This window comes from Homo sapiens, chromosome 9 (assembly GCF_000001405.40).
Source record: "Homo sapiens chromosome 9, GRCh38.p14 Primary Assembly".
NCBI lineage: Eukaryota > Metazoa > Chordata > Mammalia > Primates > Hominidae > Homo > Homo sapiens.
The window spans coordinates 91,136,487-91,161,527 of record NC_000009.12 but is presented as its reverse complement, the minus strand read 5'-3'; the positions used below and the strand labels follow the sequence as shown (position 1 = coordinate 91,161,527).

Genomic DNA, 25,041 nt, shown 5'->3' with positions numbered 1-25,041 from the left:
GGTGTTAGAGGGCTATGGAATGAGGGGCTTTGGTGCTGGTGCTGCCTGGGGATGTTGAGTGTGTGATGGCTCCTAGGATCTGAGCAGGGCCAGGAGGACGCACAGGAGGGCCGGGGCGCCACCAAAGGCAGGGAGAAGCCCACGTGGACGTCATCAGATCCCCTCTTTGTTATTTAACTGAGACTCTAGTCCAAGAAGGACACCGTGTTGCGGGCCTTGAGAGACCCCTGGCATTGGCGCTCCAGCCAGGCCCCTCTGTCCTGTTGCTGTGTCTGCACTGCCCTGGCTTCCGTATGTTTTTGCTGTATGGCCAGGACCTGTGGCTCCCGTGGCCTGCCCTTGAGCTGCCCTTGAGCTGCCCTTGGACTCATGGAGCTGTTTTGCTGGCAGGCGCAGAGGCAGGAAGGACCCAGGGGTTTTGATCCTCATCGCCGTCCTCCCGGCCTCATGCCTTTGGCCAAGAGGACCAGAGTGGGAGTAAGAAGCCCGGGCAGACGGGCAGACTTGAGGGTGTCATTAGGATCCGAGTTCCCCTAGGGGTTGGGCTCCACCCACCCTGCCCCGGAACTGGCCCGAAATTGTGCCCTGCCTGCTGCTCCCCTCTGGGCCCTGCTCTGACTCGCCCTCCCCAGTATCCCCTGGAGCCCCCTTCGTCACTCCCTGGGTGCTCATCTCACGGCGTGCTCCTGAGGAACCAACAGCCCCTGCCCAGACAGCAGGGAAGCCTCAGCAGAGCCCTGGGGGCAGTTTGGGTGGTGGGGGGGAAGGGGAGGAAGGATGGAAGCCCACAGAGGGGATGTGCAGTGCGGGGGCGGGGGCTGAGCTGGGTAGAGCCGAGGCGCCTCTGCTCAGGCGTCTTCTGAGTGGGGCTCCAGGGCCTGCATGTTCCCCCCCGGCCCGCCCCCTCCACCCCGTGCAGTAGTAGGAGGATTCCCCCGCAGTGCGGGGGCTCCTGCCCTGGACAGGTCCCCAGGCCTCTCGCCCCGACCAGCAGCTTGGGCTGGAGCTGGAGCCGGTCAGATATTTTTCTTTACTAGTGAACCTTGCCTAGCACTGCTAGGTTCTCCAGGCAGGACGACGGCCTTTGGGGGCTGGTGGACGGGATTGGATGCCTCCCTCTCTGCTGCAACCGCTTTGGGTCCGTCTTGATTGTTCCCCCCACCGTTTGCCACGTGCTCCCTGCGCTTCTGGCGCTGGGTTGGCCGCGGGGACCCCCGCACGGTCCGCGCACCCCTGGGGACCCCCGTGAACAGGCCAGGAGGTGGGAGCTATGTTAGTCACTGCGGGGTTACAAATCAGGATGTAAAGTGGGGGCCAGGGGCCAGGAAGGAGAACCAAGGGGCGCCGCGGGGTGGGGGTGGGGGTAGGCCTCGCGGGAGGGGCCGCGGAAGCGAGGCCAGCAGCACCCTGGAGAGGGGCGGGGAGGGTGCTTGGCCCATTCTGGGCGCTGCCAACGGGTGACAGACTCAGGGTCTAGCCGTGAGGGACGTGGGCTGGGGCAGCAATGGAGCAGGAGCCCGGCAGGGCGGGTGCGGGCCGGGCTTACGCAGGCCAGGCCGAGAGTACGCGCGTTTGGGTGGGGGTGGGAAGGCGGGGCGAGGCCCAGGACAGCGTCTGGTGTCAGAAACTGGCTGGGCGGGGACCATTCCAGAGGCCAGGAGAGCAGGAGGACGGACGCAGTGGGGAGGAGGGCCCTAAAATTGACTTTGGAGCGGGTTACCTGTGAGATGTATCAGGGAGGAATGTCCAGCAGACAATTGGCTACGGAAATCCGGAGCTCAGCGAAGAGAATGGGGCCGCGTGACCATGACATTTACCCAAATGATCCTCAGCAGGCCTCGCCAATTCCTGGGGACACCAGTCTCTCATAGAGGATCTTTCTGTCTTCTCAGAGTCACTTTTACAAATGTTGCCACAGGGTTATATTGCTTAGCTTCCTTCCTTCCTTCCTTCCTCCCTCCCTCCTTCCCTCCCTCCTTCCTTCCCTCTTTCCCTCCTTCCGTTCCTCCCCTCTTTCCTCTCTTTCCTTCCTTCCCTCCCTTCCTCCCTCCTTCCCTCCTCTTTCTCTTTCCTCTCTCTCCTTCCTTCCTTCCTCCCTCCTTCGCTCCTCTTTCTCTCTTTCCTCTCTCCTCCCTCCCTCCCTCCTTCCCTCCTCTCTTTCTTTCCTTCCTTCCTTTTTTCCTTCTTTCCTCCCTCCCTCCCTTCTTCTTTCCCTCTCTTTCTCCCTTTTCTTTCTCTCCTTCCTTTCTTCCTCTCCCTTCCCCTGCCCCACCCCTTCCCCTTCCCTTTTATAGACAGGGTCTCATGCTGGTGCCCAGGCTGGAGTGCAGTGGGGCAATCATAGCTCACTGCAGCCTTGACCTCCTAGGCTCAAAGCGATTCCCCCCACCTAACACCCCCCACCAGGCCTCCCAAAGTGCTGGGATTACAAGCATGGGCCACCAACCATGCCCAGCCCACTTAACCATTTCTTACATATAACTTGTAACTGACCTAAGATAAATTACGTGAATGCTACTCTGGAGGGAGGAGAGGGTGTCAGTGGAAGTCGTATGACTTTTGCATATCTGTGCCATCAAATATAGGTAAAAGTATCAATGGTGCAATTCTGCTGTTAAAATAGCATCCTTGGCTCTAAATAAAAGGGCTGATATTTTAAGTTGATTCATATATTGTAAATTAATCCAACCTAATTTTTAAAAAATTGGGGGAATGTTTTTCTTGTTAAGTCATGTTATAGAAATAAAAACTGGAAATTCTTGGCTTAAAAAATAAATAAAATTGAAACAGATTCTTAAAATAATCCTCAGCTTAAGGTAAGCAATTTTGTCTGTGACATATCACGAGTTTGATAAACTGGAGATGTTCTATTAAAAATATTGAAATAGAAATGTCTGTGACTCATGCCTGGCGGCATCTTGTATGCTGCACTCCTTGGATTATGAGCCTAGCCTTTTGGAAATGGATGGACTTGGGCCTCAGGCACAGGGTTGCTCATTTCTAGCTGCAGCTTCTTAAGCTTGGAGATTGGTTCCTCCTCCGTAAAATGGGAATTCCTAAGCCTCGCTCATGGAACTGTGAACTTCTTGGAGAGGCCAGTGTAAAGGCCGTGGATGGCGCCAGCACACACTTGTCCTGTCATTCCTTATCCACACATGTCATTTCCTTTGTGTGATATGGAGGAGACAGGGCCCCCATTTACTGGGCTTTGTGTAAAATACCTGGTGAGAGTGTTTGAGAAAGATTACTTGATAATCACGCACAAGGATGGTATCAATGAGCTGGATGTTCCCTAAGATGTGACTTCAAGCATTCCTATCTTAGGATACATATTCAGTTTGCCAAGTGTCCTGTAGAAAATTGTGTGGAAGCTCCACAGCTGTCTCACCAGCCCAGGTAGAAGATAGCATTCTTTGGGCCCTTCCTACAAAGTGAGGTCCCTGGACTGGCAGCATTCTTGTCACCTGGGAGCTTGTCTGAAATGCAGGCTTTCAGGCTTGATCCTGTGTAACCATGACTATGGCCACTGGAAATGTGGTTAGTGCCACATGATGAAAGCATACTCTTTTGGGTATATTCGATTAAATAAAGTATCTTATTAATATTAATTTCACTTTTTTTTTAACTTAAAGTCTCTACCAGGAAATTTTAAACTTCATATGTGACTCCCATTATATTTCTTTATTTTTTGAGACAGGGTCTTGCTCTGTCACCCAGGCTGGAGTGCAGTGGTGCAATCTTAGCTCACTGCAGCCTTGACCTCCTGGGCTCCAGTGATCCTCCCACCTCACCCTCCCAAGTAGCTGGGACTTCAGGCGTGTGGTACCACACTCAGCTAATTTTTTTTTTTTTGCGATGGAGTCTCGCTCAGCTGCCCAGGCTGGAGTGCAGTGGTGTGATCTTGGCTCACTGCAACCACCGTCTCCCAGGTTCAAGCGATTCTCCTGCCTCAGCCTCCCATGTAGTTGGGATTACAGGCACCTATCATCATGCCTGGCAAATTTTTTTATTTTAGTAGAGACGTGGTTTCACCATGTTGGCCAGTCTGGTCTTGAACTCCTGATTTCAGGTGATCTGCCCTGATCGGTCAATTTTTTTAACTTTTATTTTTTTAATAGAGACAGGGTCTCACTATATTGCTTCAAGTGGTCTTGAACTCCTGGGCTCAAGTGATCCTCCTGCCTCAGCTTCCCAAAGTGTTGGGAGTACAGGAATGAGCCACCTTGCCTGGCCCCATCATATTTCTGTTGGACAGTGCTGCACTCAAATCCATGTTCTCAGAATCTGTATTTTAACTAGATCCCTGAGTGATCTCTGTGCTATTAAAGTTTGAGAAGCACTGCTCTCCGGTAACTACAGCCTGTGGGCCAAATCCGGCCCAACGCTTGTTTTTGTGAAGTGAATATTACTGGAACGCAGTCACACCCTTTGTTCACACACCATCTGTGGCTCTTTGTGCTTCAGGGGTGGAGCCGAATAGTGGTGAGCTCACAGCAGAGCCTGAGAGGCCATCTAGCCCTTATAGATAGTTTCCTCAACCCTTGGCCTAGGCCTTGTTCCTGCCAGCATCTTATGGTGTGGTCACCAACCCTGATGTGCCTGTTCATGTCCTTGTCAGGAAAGTCCCTAGGCACAAGTGCCTGTGGTAGAAAATGCTTTTGGAGGCCTGCTTCTTTCCTGGAAGTCACAGAGGAGGCCGAGGATCCATGGGATGGAAAAGATTAAAAGATGATTTAAGATCAAAAGTCCCTAGTGATATTGGAAAGGCCCTTCGAGGCCACCTGACATTATCTTGCTTGTTGATGGGTGAAGCAAGACCCCAATAGGGGGTGGGTGGTGAGTCCTTTAGGTGCCGGGTGAAGGAGCCGGTGGAAACCTGGGTGAAGCCGGATGGGTGCCACCTCCAGTTGTTTTTGCAACAGGGTGTTTTCCCAGATTGTAGGTGTTGGTGGGATGGGAAGGCCCAGAAGTGAGTTGTGCAAACAATGCAGAATTTTGTCCCCTCAAATTAACACTTGGTTTTAGTTGCAATATTTAATTTACTGTGCAGTTTTCAAATAATATTAAAAGAAGGCATGGGATTTGTACATTAATCAGTGGGAAGCATAGAGTTAAAAAGACAAGACAAGACTAAGAAATGCTGCTCTATTTTTCTGCTACTCAAAGCGTGGTCCACAGACCAGAGGCATGAACATTGCCAGGAGATTGCTAGCAATGCAGAATTTCAGCCGGCCCCACTGAGTGAGAGTCTGTATCTTAACAAGGTCCCCAAGTGACTCGCAAGCACAGGAGCGTCGGAAACCCATCATTTCAGTTACTTTTAGGCTTTGGTGTGTCTTGAAATCGCTTGGGAGGTTTCAGAATTCTGAAGCCCAGGTCCCACTTCAGAGCTCTGCCTGGGGAGAGGCCAGGTGTGGAGCCATCTGAGGGTCTCCAGATGGTTTGAACGTGCAGTGGAGGGTGAGAGCCTCAGTCAACACTGGCCTTGTTTTTGCTCTGAGTTTCACAGCCCTGAGCCCCAGTGTGCCATGTTCCAGGTAGAGTCATCTAGGAATTTGCTCCTGAGTCAGGCTGCTGAAGCCCACTGTTTGTTCCCTCTCCCTGGAAGGGTGGAGATCCAGCCCTCTCTGGATTCTCTGAACCTCTGGTGAAACTTTTGGAAGGTGTGACAAGGATTCTGACTCCAACTTCCATGGCCAGGCACTTGCATGGCAGTGAAAGAGCAACAGGATTTGGTGCTTCCCCCACTGGGTGATGCAGGAATGTTCTGGATATCAAACAGGGAGTTAGCTTACTGAGACATGATTTTCAAATCCATGAGCAGTATGCTTTCTTTAAGAAACACTTGTATAAATTGCATTACTGTGAGGAATGGTTCTCAGCACTTTACAGATATTAGCTCATAAATAACATGACAGTCCTGTGAGGTGGCTTTACAGCTCCACCCACCGAGAAGTGGAGTCAGTGTTGGTCCCCTTGATTCTGGGCCTGACTTAGTGGCCTGTCCACCAAAGTTACGGTGGAGTGATGCTACGTAACTTTCAAGGCCAGGTCATGAAGAGGTGACAGCTTCCTGCTGGCTCTCTGGAATACTCCTGGGCCACCGTGGAAGCAGTCTGACTGCCCTGATCGAGCATGGCCACCATGCTGCAAGGAAGCCCAACCAGCCCACAAGTGGAGAAGTGCTGAGGTACTGAGGTGCTAAGTGACTGTGATGGGCAGAGCCCCTGAGATTGGCAGGCCACTTGTTCCTGCATCAGATCTGGTTCGTCCTGACCAATGGGCCTTGTTTGTCATGGGAGGGGGCCACAGAAATTGGGGCCCCAGTGTAGCTGGTGTTATTCAAAGTCTGACTGGCTGAGGCCCCCTGAAGTCAGGGTAGACCCTGGGCTCTGTGCTCTCCCAGCTGCCATTCATGCTACACTTTTTCACCCATCCTTGGCCTCAGGTAGGGTCAGAGGCCTTCAGGGTGTCCACCTTCCCTTCTCCCCAAACACCTGCTGAGCATCCCACTCAGCCACACCACAGAGCTGCAGTAGGCTTAGGGGACTTTTCTGCCTGGGTTCCTTGTGGTCAGCCAAACACCAACTCTGACTCCTCATAGTGGGAAGGGTGGGATGGAAGCCAGGGGATGTCTGTTGGCAGGCACACAGCTCTGCAGGCATCTGCCAAACAGACCTTATCTGACAGCCACTATTGGGCAAAATGGTTCTCTAGACCTCAAAATATGCCCAAGAGGGGATGCCGGGAGTCACCAGCACCCAAGAGAGCACCCCGGGGACAGGGCTTCAGTTGTCGGTGAACTCCTGTCCCTTCTGCCACTGAGTCCTCCTCAACTAGGGCAACCATAGCCCCCGGAGACAGGGTGTAAGCATCTTAGCAGTGCGTTGCAGTGGAGCAGTGATGTAAATATATAAGGGAATATCTTAGAGACAATAGCATTAGAACAAGGCCGAGCCTTCAGTTTGAGACAAGGACTGGATGCACAATGGGCCCTTTAACAACATAGGTTTGAACTGTGTGGGCCACTTATATGCAGATTTTCTTCCACCTCTGCCATTCCTGGGACAGTGAGACCAATCCCTCTTCTTCCTCCTCCTCGACCTACTCCACTTGAAGACAGGGATGAAGACCTCTATGATGATCCGCCCCCACTTGGTGAATAGTAAATATATTTTCTCTTTAATGATTTTCTTAATTATATTTTCTTCTTTCTAGCTTACTTTACTTTAAGAATACAGTATATGACATATATAACATATGAAATATGTGTTAATTGGCTATTTATGTTATCAGTAAGGCCTCTGGTCAACAGCAAGCTATTACTGTAAAGTTTTGGGGGGAGTCGAAATGTATACGAGGATTTTTGACTGCATGAGAGTTGGTGCTCCTAACCCCTGCATTGTTCAAGGGTCAACTGTACTTCGAGGTACTACAATTTTAGTGATTAATTTGTCTTTCTTGTTGGTGCTTTATTGTGTGGGTTGATTTGTTTTCATGAATATGTATTGGTAAATAAAATAAAAGAGTTTTAAAAAAGGAAAGCCTAGGCTGGGTGCACTGGCGCACGCCTGTAATCCCAGCACTTTGGGAGGCCCAGGCGGGTGGATCATGAGGTCAGGAGTTCAAGACCAGCCTGCCAAGATGATGAAACCCCATCTTTACTAAAAATACAAAAATTAGCTGTGTGTGGTGGTGGGCACTACTCAGGAGGCTGAGGCAGAGAATTGCTTGAACCCGGGAGGCAGCGGTTGCAGTGAGCCGAGATCGCACCACTGCACTCCAGTCTGGGTGACAGAGCAAGACTTCGTCTCAACAAAAGCCTGTGTTAACTGCACCCATTAGCTGTGTGCTCTTCAGCAAATAACTTACAAGGGGCCCTCCACCTTTCCCTACTCATTCCCTCTGAAACTGCATTTGCAAAATTTATGACAGTGAGAGAAATCTGACTTAGTTGATTGCATCTTGCTTCTGACCTCCAAGCTGTCCTTGGTCAAGGCAGCATGGGCCAAGGTAACTTTAGGAGGAATATAGTTTATAGTTTAACTTAAAAGCAAGGGTAAAAGTAAATCCCTCCATAAAACTAACCCCCTCCTTGCTCAGGGACCAAAAACCGCCTTTGTAAGACTAATGAAGGATGACAAGATTAGAATTGTGGGAGAGGCCTGAACTCTGCCTAAATGATGGCATAATTTCTATAATCCCTTACTGCTCAGGGGTCATGTGGCCAGAGGTCACAAGATTTGTGACGTTCCCCAATTGCTCCTGTGGATACATCACTATTGTAGAACCTAAGATTGGTTTTATCTGATTTTTTTCAGACTGACTTCACCTGGACCCCTGACTCATAACTCAGCTGGTCCTGTGGTTCCACCCAGAGGTGGACTCAGTGCACAAGGATTGTTTTCCACCCCTTTATGATTTCCTCCCCAGCTAATCAGCAGCACCCATTCCCTAGTCCCCCAGCCCACCGAATACTTGAGTAATAACTTCATTTCTCCTGCATGGGCCAGCCTTACGTCAGTTAAACTCTTTCTCTGTTGCAATGCCCTGGTCTCAGTGGATGGATTTCGTGCAGTGGGCAGGAAGAACCCATCAAGTGGTTACACTTTTACCTCAGTTCCCTCCAGGACTCAGGAACTCCTCTCTGGGCCATTGTAAAGATGAGAAATAATACACATACAGCCTGGAGCTCAGTGTTATTTGGGCAAGGTTGTGGGTAAATGTTTGTAGGTAAAAGATGGGAATCAGATCTACCCAGACAGCTCTTCATGCATGCACGTTGGGGAGACAGAAAACTCACCATCCAGGGAAGGCTTTCACCCATGTGATGACTTATTTTATGAGTCAATTTGAGTGGACCGTAGGTGCTCAGATTAAACATTATTTGGGTGTGTCTGTGACAGTTTTCTGATGGGATTAGCATTTGAACCAGAAGACTTAGTGAAGCGGATGCCCTTCTCAATGTAGGTGGGCCTCATCCAACCCCTTGAGGGTCTGCACAAAACAAAAGACAGAGAACAGAGGAATTTGCTCTCTTCCCCCCTTTCCTCCATGCTTGAGCTGGGACATCTCATTTCTTCTTCTTCTGCCCTGGGATTGGGATTTACATCATCTGTTCCCCTGGTTCTCAGGCTGTTGGAACAGGAGTGAATTGTAACACTGGCTTTCTTGGGTCTCCAGTTTGCAGATGGCAGATCTCAGGGCTTGTCAGCCTCCATAACTGTGTGAGCCAATTCCTCAGATAAATTTCTTCCTGTGTACATACCCTGTTGGCTCTGTCTCTGGAGAAGCCTGTCTAATTCACATGTGGTGGGCAGGGATGGTTAGCTGGCTGAGCTCCTCCCTTTCCTCACTCCATGTTGTCCTGTGCTCTCCCTGGGCCATTGGGGTGACAGAGGGGAGGAAGGGAGGGAGGAGACGCAGTGGAGAGGATGGAGGAGGTTTGCTGGGGAGTGCAAGGGGCAGTAAAGGGCAGCAAAGGGCAGCAAAAGGCAGCTGAGCTGTGTGGGAGGCAGGGAGTGGGAAAGCAAGATGGCGGCGGGAGGTTGAGGGATGTGGTGGGAGCTCAGTCCCCTTGTGTGGTTGGAGACTTGCAGAGCTGGCTTGATTATCCTCAAGTCCCCTTTGGTCCCTGGGCAGCAACACCCACGAAAAAGTGCTGATTTCCCCAGACCATGGTGCAGCTACCACCCACTGAACCAGGGTTGAAGCTTTTATACTCAAGGGAGAGTGGAAACTTCTAGAATAGGGAACAGCTTGGTGAGCAGGTAAATATGGGCAGGCAACATTTCCGAGAGTGGGTGTGCAGATGGTGGGCAGTGGGGGGGAGGCACACTATTTTTTTTTCCCCAAAAGAACTAACTCATTCCTTAACTCATTCCTTAGAGAAAACTTCATGAAAACAGAAACAACGATGCTCCCAGAATCACAATCATATGTTGGATTTACTCACTTGAAGCTTCTCTCCAGATGTGGTTAAGGAAATATGACAAATAGACCTTGTTCTGATTTTTACTTTCTCTAAAGAACTAATATAGCTGATGGATTTATGATGAGAAAGCCATTAACACCATGAGCTGGATTCATAGTGCTCCTTGTCTCTCAAAAAATTGAGATACTTTGAAATAATAGGTATGTTTCTTTAAGAACACATTCTAGAAATTCAGGGCAAGAAGACCCTGCATCTGAAAGAACACACAAGTGGACATTCTGTGTTCAGAGAGACGAGAAGTTCCTGCCCTGGGGGACTATTTGGGTACTCAGTGTTCATAATGATAAGATTCATTTAAAAGGCAAAAACCCACAAACTAAAATGCGGTCAAACTGTTGCAGAGAGTAGGGGTGACGTACAAGGTGAAGGAAACAGAAGTTTTGTGGTTTAATAGCTGGTTTCATGATGAGTTATGGTATTTCTTCAGAAAAACTCTGCAAGCAGTTACGTGGTGCTATTAGACAGCTTTGGGAACTAATTCAGTCATGGTTTTGTAACTCATCTTCAATGGTGCTTGTTTTTTTGTTTGTTTGTTTTTGGTTCGTCTTCACAGTCACAGCCCAATATTTTTGTTTGGAGGTGGGGAGGGAGTGGGTTCCAATTATCTGCTGCTGTGTAATAAACCATCCAAAATGCAGCAGCATAGAGCTACCATTTTATTATTCCAGTTCTTCAGATTGCCTGGGGTCAGCAGGATGGTTCTTCTGCTGACCTCCTTTGGGGTCTCTCCTATTGGCAATGACTGGTAATAGGGCTGAATCACCTGGCCCTGGGACTAGGAAATGGAACATGGACAGCTGAGCCTCTCTCTTTCTCCTTGTGGCCTCAGGACTTCTCCATGTAGTCTCTCCAGCAGGTCGATGGTCTTTTAAAATCAGGGGTCAGCAAACTTTTCAGTACAAGACCAAATATTTTAGACTCTTTGACCATATAGTCTATGTCACAAGTACTCAACTCTACCATTGTAATGCAAAGGTAGCCATAAATGCCCATAAACAGATGGACATTGCTCTGCTGCAATAAAGCTTTATTTACAAAAATAGACAGTGGGCTGGATTTGGCCCATGGGCCATAGTTTGCCAACCCCTGTCTTACATGGTGGTTCAGGACTCCCAAGAGCACAAGAACAAACATTGCCAAGCTCTACAAGTTAGGCCCAGAACAGGCACAGAGTCACCTGATACACTGTTGACTAAAGTGGGTCTCAGGCTTAGTCCAGACACAATGTTGGAAAGCAGGGAAGAAAGAATGTTTCTTCCGCCCTTTTAGGTTTAGTGACTGTGGCCTGCAAATTAAACTAACAAAGGACAGATTAACAGGAGAAAAAGTATACAAATTGTATTTGATGTTAATATCTTAATTTTTGGGCTGGGCATGGTGGCTCATGCCTGTAATCCCAGCACTTTGGGAGACTGAGGCAGGCAGATCACTTGAGGCCAGTAGTTTGAGATCAACCTGGCCAACATGGCGAAACCCCGTCTCTACTAAAAATACAAAATTAGCTGGGCATGGTGGTGCACACCTGTAATCCTAGCTACTCAGCAGGCTGAGGCAGGAGAATCGCTTGAAGCCCTGAGGTAGGAGAATCGCTTGAAGCCAGGAGGCGAAGGTTGCAGTGAGCTGAGATCGCACCCACTGCACTCCAAGCCTGGGCAAAAGAGCGAGAGTCAGCCAGGCATGGTGGCTCATGCCTGTAATCCCAGCAGTTTGGGAGGCCAAGGTGGGCAGATGACCTGAGGTCAGGAGTTCGAGACTAGCCTGACCAACATGGAGAAACCTCGTCTGTACTTAAAAAAATAATAATAATAATACAAAATTAGCCAGGCGTGGTGGCACATGCCTGTAATCCCAACTCCTTGGGAGGCTGAGGCAGGTGAATCGCTTGAACCCAGGAGGCGGAGGTTGCACTGAGCCAAGATTGCACCACTGCACTCCAGCCTGGGCAATAGAGGGAGATTCCATCTCAAAGAGTGAGAGTCTGTCTCAAAAACATTTTTTAAAAAATTTTTACATGTAAACAAGTATCTTACAGAAAGTGAAAACCCAAAGAAAGAGTTATGACTGAGAACTCATATACCATTTTAACAAAGACTGTAAACTTGTGGCAAAATGACAAGGCAAAGACAAAGGATTTGAAATTCTAGTGGTGATAAACCGTGGAATGTCAAATATGTGGGGGAAAACTAATGGAAGATAAGGTTTATTTAGTAAGTTTGTTTATGCAGATTGAAGCCAGTATCATGTCAAGGGATAAGCATTGTCTCCTTTTCCTGGCAGAGGGGGACCCCTTCACAAAGGGAAATTTATGCCCTCCTTTACACAGGTGGGAAATAATAGAGAGATTTTCCTGCTTCTGCTATTTCTCATTTGCCTTCAGCTCAAAATAATCCTTATGCCAAAGTGGTATATTCTGGGGTGGCATGCTCTGACTCCCTTCAGGGATGACTGCAGAAGGGCAGTTACAAGGATTTGGGGTTCTTGGGGCCATCTTTGGAGACACATGGCACAGGGGAGTGAGAGATGTAAGGTCACTCTTTGGTGTTTGATTTTAAGGAAACATTAGTGTATGCAAACTTTGTGTTTAAACCAAAGAGCAGAATTTATCATTTGAAATGAAAATTTTATAGCTACTAAAGTAAAAATAGGTGAGTTTAGTTATTTTCTGTTGAGTGCTACTCCACCAAGGTTAACAAAAGGACTGAAGTGCAAGGATTTCGTGGTGGGAACGCTTGTCTCCTTTGCCTGCTTCCCCTCATTCATTATTTTTGTATCCGGATACAGGAAACAGAAATGCTACATGACAATTACTCTCAGATGCAACGGTCTTTCGGACATCATGTTTTGCTGGGGTCAGATGGGGACCTTATTTTCTGTGTGTTCTGGTTCTCCTCTCTGGTAAAGGGGTGTCCCTAGGGGCAGCTTTTAAAGGGCTGAGTGGCTTCAGGCACAGGCAGGGGCCCTCCTGCTGGGGTGATCCCCTGGTGAGACAGAGCCCCTTTACTCTGGTCTGCACTGTTTTACAAACCTTGACTTCCCAAACTCAGGTTCTCCCACCTTAGTTCCAGCCACGAACCTGTTTCTATAATACAATGGATCATGTTACTGCCTTTTGGGAAAACCCCCGACTGCTCCTCCTGATCCTCCTGACTGACTGCAGTGGAAGCATCATCTATATTCCAGCTGAACCATCTTCCTGCCCACCCAGCACACACTGCGCAAGACCCTACTCTATAATCCCCTGGACTCTTCAGTCTTCCCAAAGGAGTCCCGAACCTTCCTATCTTCTCATGTTTACTCAAAGCCTGAAATGCTTCCCCCATTTGAAGATGATTCTCCAAATCTCAACCTAAGTGCCCCTTTCTCCAGGAAGCCCTCCTTAGTTTCTTTTTAGTTGGATCAGTTGTTCCTTCCTGAATGAACCCGAGAAGGAGAGAGAGAGAGGGAGAGAGAGAAAGCAGATTTTTACTATTTTACTGAAACATATCCTAGAAGCCCCATGAATACTTTCACATGTAAACTTAGAACACATTTACCTTTGCAGAGTGCAGAGAGTGCAAGAAAGTTTAACTGAAAACTGTGATAGTTTCTGCTTCTTGATGATTCATCTCTTGCATGATGAGCAATTCTGTACCTGGAAGAAGAGTTGCTGAAATATGTTCCCCAATTGCTTGTTCTCATTTCCACATAATGTGTGTGTGTGTGTGTGTGTGTGTGTGTGTGTGTGTGTGAATGCATTAACAAGTTAGCCAGTATATAAGTTTACATGCTGCTCTTCAATTTCTCCAAAACTTTCTTACGGATCATTTAAAAGCTCAATGATGTCCCTTCAATAGCTCAGCTGGTAGAGCAGAGGACTGTAGCTAATTCCTCATAAAATCTCAATGAGATTAAAAACAAGCAAGCAAGCAAGCAAGCAAGCAAACAAACAAACAAACAAACAAACAGCCCAGAAAGGCAGATGCAAAGAAGCAGCTAAGCCTTCCCTGTGGCTATATGAATGGATGCTCAGGAGGGGCCTTTGCCTGGGGTTAGGGAGTACACAGGCTTCTTTTGTTAGTTTTTGTTTTTTCTGTAGTGAGGTTGGCAAAGCTGCCTCCTCTCCCAGCCTTGAGCTGGTGCCTGGGCCTAGGTGGGTGCTACCGAGGTGTAAAAGAAGTCGGGGCTCTTGTGGACAGAGGGACCACCCACCCCAGGATTTGAAGTTAGGACAGGCTCTCCAGGTGAATTTGGGGGGCCTCATGGCAGCAAAGTGCTATGAGCTCAGGCACACTTGAGGGGCACTGGTGCAGGTGAAACAGAACAACCTGAGGATCTCAGCAGGAGGGACAACACGGAGCTGTCCCTGCACTTAGGGGCACAGCCTGCATGCAGGTCACTGTTCCTACACGGCTGCTGCCCCTGTGGGCATGTCACAGTAAGCCGATCACTGTGACTTATGGATTTTGCAAAAGAGTAGGAGTTTATTCACGAGGCAGTCAAGAGAGGAGGCGGGAGGACAGGTCTCAAATTTGCCTCTCTAAAAATAGGACGTGAGGGTACTTATGGGCTAGAAACCCAAGTGGTCTTGAGGTGAAGGGGGAGGTAATGGGAGTTCATGCAAGCCTGGTGGGGCTGCACGGTTCTTCACCGGACACATGCAGAAAAGGGTGGCACTAACCTGATCTAAGGGTGGAGATTTTAGCCCTCTGACGTCAAAAGGTCACTCTTTGGACACCCACACAGGTTCAGCTGAAGGGCTGGTGGACTCAATGAGCTTGAACTGGACAAGTACTGCCCATAGTTCCTGAAAAACAACTCTAAGTGCTGGTTACTATAGTGACCTATAGTCAGAGCCAGTGTAAGGAAGTCAGTGGGAGTTTAGTGAGTACTGCTCAGCTACGTGGCGTTTAGCTATGCGGATTTTTAGATCAACTAGAAGTATGAGATGAAAAGTAAGCAACTTAATCAAGTGAGCCCTCAGCTTCAGGCACATCCTCTTTCTGCCTCTCATCTCTGCATCTTCCCTTCTTTTGCCCAATTGGGCCCAGCCAGAGAACTCTGCCCCATCTGCTGTTTCACACTGTGAGGGCAGTGCACCAGGGTGCGAGGCCCTTGGTATGCGCAGGCTGAGCTGGTGGTTTGAGCACAGGCCGGGGCATTTTCCACAGTGTGGATTGGGACCCCTTAATGGTCATGGACTTAATTTAATAAGATGTGACTGACATTTTAAAAAATGAAATAAAAATAAATTTTAATGAAAGAGTGCATAATGCTAAGGTTTTTTTGTTTGTTTGTTTTGTTTTTTGTTTTTGTTTTTTTTGAGATGGAGTCTCACTCTGTCCCTGAGGCTGGAGTGCAGTGGCGCTATCTCAGCTCACTGCAACCTCCTCCTGGTTCAAGCGATTCTCCTGCCTCAGCCTCCTGAGTAGCTGGGATTACAGGCATGTGCCACCATGCCCAGCTAAGTTTTGTATTTTTAGTAGAGACAGGGTTTCGCCATGTTGGCCAGGCTAATGCTAAGGTTTTTTTGTCCTTGCTTTTTTTCCTGCTTTCTCCATCATTGTACTTATCAATGTTCATACTATGCAGTGCGTGCATACTGTATCCAAATGCATATTTCATCATGCACCTTGAGATGCTCTTTTCTTTCACTTTCTCCGATGTCACTATCTCTTGGGTTTCTTCTTCCTAGTTCATACAATCAGTAAGTTTTTATTTCTCATTTACTCCTGAAATGCTGGGTTCTCAGGGCTCCTTGCTTTGCCTCGTGATCCTGGTGATGAGAGCTGATGATCTCCATCTTCCTCCTGCCCCAGGCCTGCCTTTCTCAGGAGGGCTAGACCTGCAGGTCCAGCAGCCACATGGTGTCCCTTGGATGCCCCCCGGGGCTGACCCTGGGCCCCATCTCCGTTCTGCCATCCTGCTTCCCTCCTGGGTTCTCCGTCAAGTTGCCTAAGCCTAAATCTAGGCTCTTCCATCTCCATTAATGTGCCACATCCAACTATTCACCAGATGTCATCATTGCTACTGCCTTGGTAGCAACCACCTCTCTTGTCAACCCCAACCCCACCCCAGCTTGGGCCAACATCATGTCTTAAGAGATGCCAGTGGTGGCCACACTAATGTCTGTCCTCCAGCCTCTTTTCCCCCCACCACACTGCGGAATGCTGAGAGGTTCAGAGTGTGCTGCCCCAAAATATGCTACTCTGGCTTAAGGATTATTTTGAGCTGAAAGCAATGTAAAACAACAACGCAGGACAAACCCTCTTTCCTCCTTTTCTCTACCAAGAAGAGCAGGGAGATTCTTAATCATGGGAGACAACTCTAGACTCATCAGGCTGGGATGACACCAAAGGAATCTATATCACAAATCTTTCAAACTAGTCCTTATCATCCCCTAGCTTCCCCCTATGTTTGTCTTCCTACAATTTGCTGTCCTTAGAAGCTCAAAGTCCTTTTCTTTGGTCTTATCACTTCTCTACAAATTTATTATTCTTTGTTAAGATGCTATGTAATGCTGAATTGTAACCACCCATTTGAGTTACTCATGGCTAAGTGATCCCACATGTGAGCAAAATGCACATTAACAAACTATTTTCCCTTGCTAATCCAACGGCTCCAGCCAATGAAACTAAGATGAGTAGAAAATAAATCTTTTTTTTCCTGCTCTAACCAAATGTGACTCTGATCAGGATTGTAAGTGGGTGCTAGAACCATTTGCGTAAGTGATGCAGAACTGACGGTCCCTTGGTGCCAAAGAATCACACCCTCAGTATTGCACTTGCAAAGGGGGTGTTCCTTCATGGTGCATGGATCTTGGGGTCCCCATATTGTCCACATGATCAAGTTAGCATCACTAAGAATGGAGCAGCCTACATTCTGTGCCCCCTGAGGTGAAGAGACACAGAGGCTATAGCGTCATCTATGAAGTGGTCTGGACAAAAATGCTTAATCTGAATTGCATGAAGACTCCAGGGTTCCTTTCAGTTTACAAGCAATACAGGGGCTAAAGAAAATAACCAAAGGGCACTGCAAGAAACAGTCAGACAAATCCAGAATATGGGGCATTCTTAAGACAACTGACCCAAACTGTTCAGAAAGCCAATGTCGTGGAGAAAAAAGCTTGGTTCTAAACTACAAGGGACTCAAGAGACCTGATATCCACATGTAATGGGTGAACATAGATGGCATCCTACCAACACACACACCTCCCAACTCTAAAGGACATTCTGGGAACAACTGGGGAGACTTGGACATGGACTGGGTATTGAATGTTGTTAGTAGGGAATTGTCGTCAGTTTCTTTAGTTGTAATAGGCTGTGTGGGAGAGTGCTCTTCAGCAATGCATGTTGAGTGTGTAGGAGTAAATTATAATGATGCCTGCTCCTTACTTCAAATGATTCAGTAAACAAACAAACGAAAATGCTCACAGAAACAAATGCAGCACAATTAAAGAGTTGTAGAATCTAGGTTGGAGTGTCTTTGGGTATTGATTGTATTATTTTTCCAAATTTTTTCTGTATATTTGGAGTTTTATAATGACAAAATGATAGGGAAAAAATAAAATGCAAAACTAAGCCTGCTACTCCTGGGACTGAAAACCTTCAAAAGCCTCGGGGTAAGTCCAGAGTCTCAGCCTGCCTGGCTGGCCCTGCTGCCTGGCTCTCCCTGGCCCCTTCCTGCCTCTCATGGCTCACCATGGCCACCTCTGCCTGGGGCCGTGGGTGTGGTGGGTGCTCCACCTCTTCTGGACTTTTGCCTTCATCATTTCTCTGCTTGGAAGGCCAGCCTGCATTCACACTTCGGCCCTGAATGAGGAGCCCCTTGTATATACTCCCACAGCTTGTACTCATCACAACCCATTAGGCATTTCATTCAGTAGACTGCAAACTGTTGAGGGGAAAATATTGTGTCCCCAGTTCCTAATACATATTTGGTGTATAGTAGGTGTCAATGCATGTACCTCAAGAGTGGGCCACTTTTGTGCACTTTGCTGTAGTCTGGGAAAATATGGAACTCAAAGTCTATATTTCTGGACACTGTAAAGAGTTGAGCAGGCCATGACATCAGTTGGGTGCTGCCAAAGCTTCTGGAGCCGGGAGAGCTGAGCAACTGGCATCCTCTGGAAGTTATTTAGGCTCCTGGTCTTCCTTTGGTTTAGACAGAACAAGTCTGAATGGGGAAGGATGACTGAATACTTTCAGATGCCTCTGACCCGTCTGAGATTGAGGGTGGGGCCCGCGTCCAGGCTTAGTGCAACTCTGGGATGTTACTTGTATTGCTGAGTAGAAGACAGTTACAGACAATTTTTTTTTTTTTTTGAGATGGAGTCTCACTCTGTTGCCCAGGCTGGAGTGGTATGATCTTGGCTCACTGCAACCTCCACCTCCCGGGTTCAAGCAATTCTCCTGCCTCAGCCTCCAGAGTAGCTGGGACTACAGGAGCATGCCACCACACCTGGCTAATGTTTTTGTATTTTTAGTGGAGATGGGGTTTCACCATGTTGACCAGGCTGGTCTTGAACTCCTGACCTCAAGTGATCCGCCATCTTTGGCCTCCCAAAGTGCTGGGATTACAGGGATCAGCCACTGCACCTGGGCTGCAGACAATTTTTATTTGGCATGCTGGATGGATGGACAGACGGATGGATGGATGGATGGATGGATGGATACAGGTATAGACATGCTGCTGAGTATATTAATGCTGGATATTTTGCTTCCTATAAAATGAAATAATGTCTTACTTACTAATTTATGTCCCAGCCCTCCAAATGCCTGAAAATTAACTCTGAGTTCCTTTGCCAGAAATAGCCACCCTGTGATGGATTCAGGGTTCAGGCATAACGGGGCGAGTCTCATCTTGAGGCAAGCTCACAAACGAAGTTTTCCAGAGAAAATTATTTTGCTCAGATACCATTTCATCATGACATAGGCTTGGGCATCTCCCAAGAGTTTAGGATTTATGTGGCTCAAGAATGAAGTCATTGTATTTGGGGCTGTGTTTACTGTTGCTTTTTGTTCAGAATCCTTTCTTCTGAGGTGTGAATGGTCAGACTTGTAGGGATAGTGAAGTTGGAGATTCTCGGATATCTTAGATAACCATCTGAGGCTTAGTGAATATATGTGCACTGAGAGATATCTGATGGAAAGCATCCAGCCATCAGCCCAGGAATAACAATGTAAGAAGCACTGATTCCACAGTCTCCCTAGTTGTAGTAGATGGAGCTATAAGACAGGCAACTAACTATGGGCCAGACAAGTCTTCATCTGGGGTCCCTTGACCGGCACCACTTTGACCCATCTCAGAATAATGACAAGAGTAGGGATAGAGAGGAAAGTGAGGAGTCAGGAGCTTAAATCTTTCTCCTTGTTACTGTGGACAGCAAGGAGGAGAGACAGAGGGAGGTTCCCAGCAGGTGGCAGGGATTTCAAAGGAGCTACGGCGGGTTGGTGGGGGCAGGTTAGGTAGGAAGAAGGAGAAATACTGGAAAGTGCGGTGGTTAGACTATAGTAACCCGCCATTTAATCAAACATGAATTTGGGCATTTTGTAGATGATAGATATGGCTAACCTCTATAATCGGTTGAGTTTAAGTAAATGAGCTTGCCTGCAATAATATGGGTAGGCCTCATCCAGTCTGGAGAATGGCCTTAAGAGCCAAAATCTGAGGTTTCCTGAAGATGGAGAAATTCTGTCTCAACACACCAGAATGAACTCCTGCCTGAGTCTCCAACCTGCTGGCCTGTAATGAAGATCAGAATATGCCATGCCAAAATATGACATTTGGCATAGGAATTATTTTTAGCTGAATGCAGCTGAGAAAAAGCAGACACAGAAAGAGCTCTCTGCCTTCCTCCTTTCTGCCTAAAAGCAGGGGATAAATCTCCCTTGTGAAAGTGCCCTACCCTGACCTCCTGTCTTCAGTCCCCTATCAGAAAGAGGAGAACAACCCTTATCAGCAGAGATGGGGAAGGCGATGACATGAGGTAGCATAAGCAAACCTTACAAAATCATCCTTATGCACCATTAGTTTCCCGCATATATTTTCTCTCTCTCTCTCTCTTTTTTTTTTTTTGAGACTAAGTCTCACTCTGTCGCCCAGGCTGGAGTGCAATGGCATGATCTGGGCTCACTGCAACCTCTGCCTCCCGGGTTCAAGCATTTCTCCTGCCTCAGCCTCCTGAGTAGCTGGGATTACAGGCGCATGCCATCACGCCTGGCTAATTTTTGTATTTTTAGTAGAGAAGGGGTTTCACCATATTGGTCAGGCTGGTCTCAAACTCCTGACCTCGTGATCCACCTGCCTTGGCCTCCCAAAGTGCTGGGATTACAGGCGTGAGCCACTGAGCCTGGCCGGTTCCCCCATATATCTATCTTCCCATAATTTACTGCCCCTCAAAGCCCTAAACACCTTTTCCTTTAGCTAGTCACTTCACAATTTATCATATTTTGTTTAAATGGTATATAAACCCTGAGACAAACCACTTCTTTGGGGTTTCACTTCTTTTCTGTGGAGCCCTCCCATGCACATAACATTGAAAATAAAATTTGTGTGTCTTTTCTCCTGGTAGTCTGTCTTTTGTCAGTTTAATTCACAGGCTCTCAGCACAGACCCTAAGTGCGTAGAGGAAAAGTTTTTTTTTTGCTCTCCTATACCTGCCCTACAGATTTTATACTTGCCAGCTCTCATAATCATGTGAGCCAATTCCATGAAGTATGTATTTTAATATATATCTAGGATATATTCACGTGTGTGTGCGTGCGTGTGTCTCAAAATATTTTCTCAGCATCTTTCAAGACAGCTTTGCTAGGCATCTGGTCAGAGGCTGGAAAAGTGACCGTAACAGGGCATTGAATTGTTCAAGAAGAGCATTGCATGTATTTTCTCATTTGCGTTTTAAACCTGTCAGCATGTGCCCTCCTAATAAACATCTTGAAACTGTCCGTCCATGTCCTCTGTGTGTGTGTGTGTGTGTGTGTGTGTGTTTGCATGTGTGTTTCCATCTGCGTCTGAGTAGACATGCAAGATGTTACACAGTAACTGCTCAATGAAATGCTTGCAAGTTTTCTGATCTATCTAGGCTACATTGCTGAGGAAGTCATCCTACTGTCTATAAGCTCTTTTATTTATTTATTTATTTATTTACTTTTTTGAGACTGAGTCTCACTCTGTCGCCCAGGCGGGAGTGCAGTGGTCTCGGCTCACTGCAACCTCCACCTCCTGGGTTGAAGCAATTCTTCTGCGTCAGCCTCCCAAGTAGCTGGAATTATAGGTGCCCGCCACCATGCCTGGGTAATTTTTGTATTTTTAGAGTAATATTTTGTATTTGTACAGATGGGGTTTCACCATGTTGGCCAGGCTGGTCTTGAGCTCCTGACCTCAAGTGATCCACCTGCCTTAGCCTCTCAAAATGCTAGGATTACAGGTGTGAGCCACTATACCTAGCCTATAAACTCTTATTCATTATTATTATTATTATTATTGTGATTATTTTTGCAGGGAAGTGTGACATTTAAAAATATTTATTTTGTTGCTTTCTTGTTACATACAGAACAACTCATGCAAAGAAAACCTAGTTGAATAAATTGCTTTTGTTTAGTAGCTGGTGAAAAAGAGCTTCTTCAATTTCTGAAAAGTATTGAGTAAATGAAATTAACTAGGTGCCATATGAATCTTATTCATTTATTTATTTTTTGAGATGGAGTCTTGCTGTGTTGCCCAGGCTGGAGTGCAGTGGTGAGATCTCGGCTTGCTGCAACCTCCACCTCTTGGGTTCAAATGATTCTCCTGCCTTAGCCTCCCCAGTAGCTGGGATCACAGGCATGCATCACCATGCCCAGCTAACTTTTTTTTTTTTTTTGTATTTTTAGTAGGAACATTTCAATATGCTGGCCAGGCTGGTCTCAAACTCCTGATCTCAGGTGATTCACCTGCCTCGGCTTCCCAGAGTGCTGGGATTACAGGCATGAGCCACGGTGCCCAGCTATGAATCTTTTCTTTTGGGGAAAAGTTATTCATTAAATTCCCTAATAGCCTGACATAAATGAAGCTATGAACATTGTAGAGGAGTGTTGCAAAAGCAAATGCCATATATTACACACCGCAGAAAGCAAAATTAGGGCAGACCTTGGGAGCTATGAATGTAGCAAGTTTTTATAACTTAAAAAATATAGATAACCACTGTTCATTAAAAAATTAAAACTCTAGAAAGATCCAGAAATAAAAATAGAAATCAATCATCAATGTGATCAACATATTGATGTTTTTTCTTTCTACCCCCAGGTGATTTTTCCAGTGCTTGATAATTTTAAAGTAAAAACTATGTAAATATGTAGGAAAAAAACAACTCCTTGAAAAAAGTATCTGGGACCTGCTAACAATCAAGAGCAACAGAGTGCTCCAGCTGGAGGGCCTGGGGGGCGGGGGTCAGAAGTAGTATGCTCACACACACACACACACACACACGCACACACACATGCATGTATGACATGGACAGACAGTTTCAAGATGTTTATTAGAAGGGCACATGATGACAGGTTTAAAAGGCAAATGAGTAAATGCTAGCCTTAAAAGCAAGTGCAGAACTTCATGTCTACAATGGGACCATTCACCAGTACTGTTTACGCAAACGCATGATTCACCTACCCAGGATCGACTCAGGAATAAAAATTAATTATACCAAAGTGAGTAGGCATCCAAAAAGGCTTTTTGAGCCACTGAGTCATTGTCACTAAAAGTCCATGTTCTGCCCTTTGCCATACTGAGAACATGGCAGTAGGGGACAGAGATAAAGATGGCAAAAAAAAAAAAAGGAAACCTCTCAAGGATGAATAACAAAGGGTGGTGCAGGGGCGAGAAGACCCCATCAAGGGCCTGAGCACCTCTTCACAAAAAGAGAAAGGAAGGGGAGGCAGGAGGGGGATATTCAGTTGGGAGTATCCTCTCTGAGAATGTAGAAACGGTTGGGCGCAGTGGCTCACACCTGTAATCCCAGCACTTTGGGAGGTTGAGGCAGGTAGATCATCTGAGGTCAGGAGTTTGAGACTAGCCTGACCAACATGGAAAAATCCTATCTCTACTAAAAATACAAAATTAGCCGGGCGTGGTGGCGCATGCCTGTAATCCCAGCTACTCGGGAGGCTGAGTCAGGAGAATCGCTTGAACCCAGGAGGCGGAGGTTGCGGTGAGCCGAGATTGCGCCACTGCACTCCAGCCTGGGCAACAAGAGCAAAATTCCGTCTCAAAGAAAAGAAAAAAAGCGTAGAAACTATGTGAAACATTTTGAAGAATTTACATCTCAAAATTTTATTTGTTTTCTTCTATTATGTGTCTTATTCTACACAACTTTTTACCTGCTTAAAGTGTACAATTCATTGTTTTTTTTTAGTATATTTACAAGCTTGTGCAACCATTACTGCAATCTAATCTTAGATTTTTGTCCCTTCAAAAAGAAACTTCGTATCTGTTGCATTAGCATTTTCCATCTCACCCCAAGCCCTTTGCAACTGCTAGTGTGGTTTTGGCTTTATAGATTTGCCTATTCTGGACAGTTCATATAAATAAACCATACAGCGTGTGCCCTTTGGGTCTGACTTTTTCATTTAGTGTATGTTTTCAGGTATATTCATGTTTAGTATGTGACAATATTTCATTTCATTTCATTATCAAGTAATGCCCACTGAATGGATATATCACATCTTAAAAATCTGTCAGTTGATGGAGATTTGAATTGTTCCTACTTTTTGGCTATTATGAATAACACTGCCATGGACATTTGCTTATAAGTTTCTGTGTGGATATATATTTTCTTTTCTCTTGAGTAGATGCCTAGGAGTAAAATTTCTAGGTCATATAGCAACTCTACATTTAACATTTGAAGGAACTGCCAAATTGTTTTCCAATATATCTGCACCATTTTACATTCCTCCAAGCAATATATGAAGATTCCAACTTCTCCACATCCTTGCCAACACTTGTTATTTTTGTTACAGCCATCCCAGTTGGTGTGAAGTGGTATTTCATTGTGTTTTTGAATTGCATTTCCCCAATGTCTAACGATGTTAAACATCTTTTCATGAGCATATTGGATGTTTATATATCTTCTTTGGACAAAAACCTACCAAATCCTTTGCTCATTTTTAAATTGGATTTTTTGTTTATTGTTGAGTTATAGGTTTCTTTAAATATATTCTAGATACACATCATATGTGTTTCTCAAATACAGGATCACGTCCCATTCTGTGGGTTGTGGGTTGTCTTTTTATTTCCTTGTTGGTATTGCTTGCAGCACAAAAGTTGTTAATAGATCAAGTCCAATTTATCTTTTACTTGTGGTGTTGCATCTAAGAAAATACTGCCTAACCCAAGGTCCTGAAGACTTACTCCTATATTTTCTTCAGTGTTGTGGTTTAGCTCTTACATTTGTGCCCATGATCCATTTTGAGTTAATTTTTGTAAGTGTTGTGAAGTCGGAAGTCCAACTTCATTCTTTTCAGAGGGGTTATCTAGTTGTGCCAGCACCATTTGTTGAAAAGACTGTGCTTTCCCCCACTGAGTTGTCTTGATGCCCTTGTTGAAAACCAATTGACCATAAATGTAGGGTTCATTTCTGGACTCTTAATTCTGTTCTGTTAAACAATATCACTATCTTTCTGCCAGTACATGCTTTCTTGGTTACCATAGCTTTTTACTAAGTTATGAAATATTAAAGATTGTTTTGGTGATTGAAGTTTTGGCTGTAGTTTAAGAAACAGATATAGAACAATCAAATGAGCATGTTTCTCACAATTAGAGAATTAAGCAGCAATATTTCCCAAGGATATGAGATTCAGGTGATATGGTTTGGCTGTATCTCCATCCAACTCTCATCTTGAATTCCCACATGTTGTGGGAGGGACCTGGTGGGAGGTAATTGAATCATGAGGGCAAGTCTTTCCCATGCTGTTCTCATGATAGAGAATATGTCTCATGAGATCCGATGGTTTTTAAAAAGGAGCTCCCCTGCATAAGTTCTCTCTCTGTCTGCCACCATCCATGTAAGATGTGACTTGCTCCTCCTTGCCTTCGCC

At 46.4% G+C, this 25,041-nt stretch overlaps 2 long non-coding RNA genes across 3 annotated transcripts in view, besides 2 other annotated features; one reads left to right on the top strand and one right to left on the bottom strand.

Moving 5' to 3' along the window:
• The window catches only part of LINC02937 (long intergenic non-protein coding RNA 2937), an 86,180-nt gene that overhangs the window by 1,753 nt on the left and 59,386 nt on the right, over positions 1-25,041 (top strand). The gene's annotated exons all lie outside the window — the stretch shown is intronic.
• The window catches only part of LINC00484 (long intergenic non-protein coding RNA 484), a 63,701-nt gene that overhangs the window by 21,235 nt on the left and 17,425 nt on the right, over positions 1-25,041 (bottom strand). The window lies entirely within an intron of this gene.
• Positions 13,673-13,792: an enhancer, noted in NCBI's record as "active region_28583". NCBI's record gives its function as "activates an Ori minimal core promoter by ATAC-STARR-seq in GM12878 lymphoblastoid cells {active_cell/tissue: GM12878}" and the evidence as "EXISTENCE:reporter gene assay evidence [ECO:0000049][PMID:35858748]".
• Positions 14,200-14,767: an enhancer, noted in NCBI's record as "NANOG-H3K4me1 hESC enhancer chr9:93909043-93909610 (GRCh37/hg19 assembly coordinates)". NCBI's record gives its function as "activates a minimal SCP1, AML or CMV promoter by ChIP-STARR-seq in primed H9 embryonic stem cells {active_cell/tissue: H9 hESC(primed)}" and the evidence as "EXISTENCE:reporter gene assay evidence [ECO:0000049][PMID:30033119]".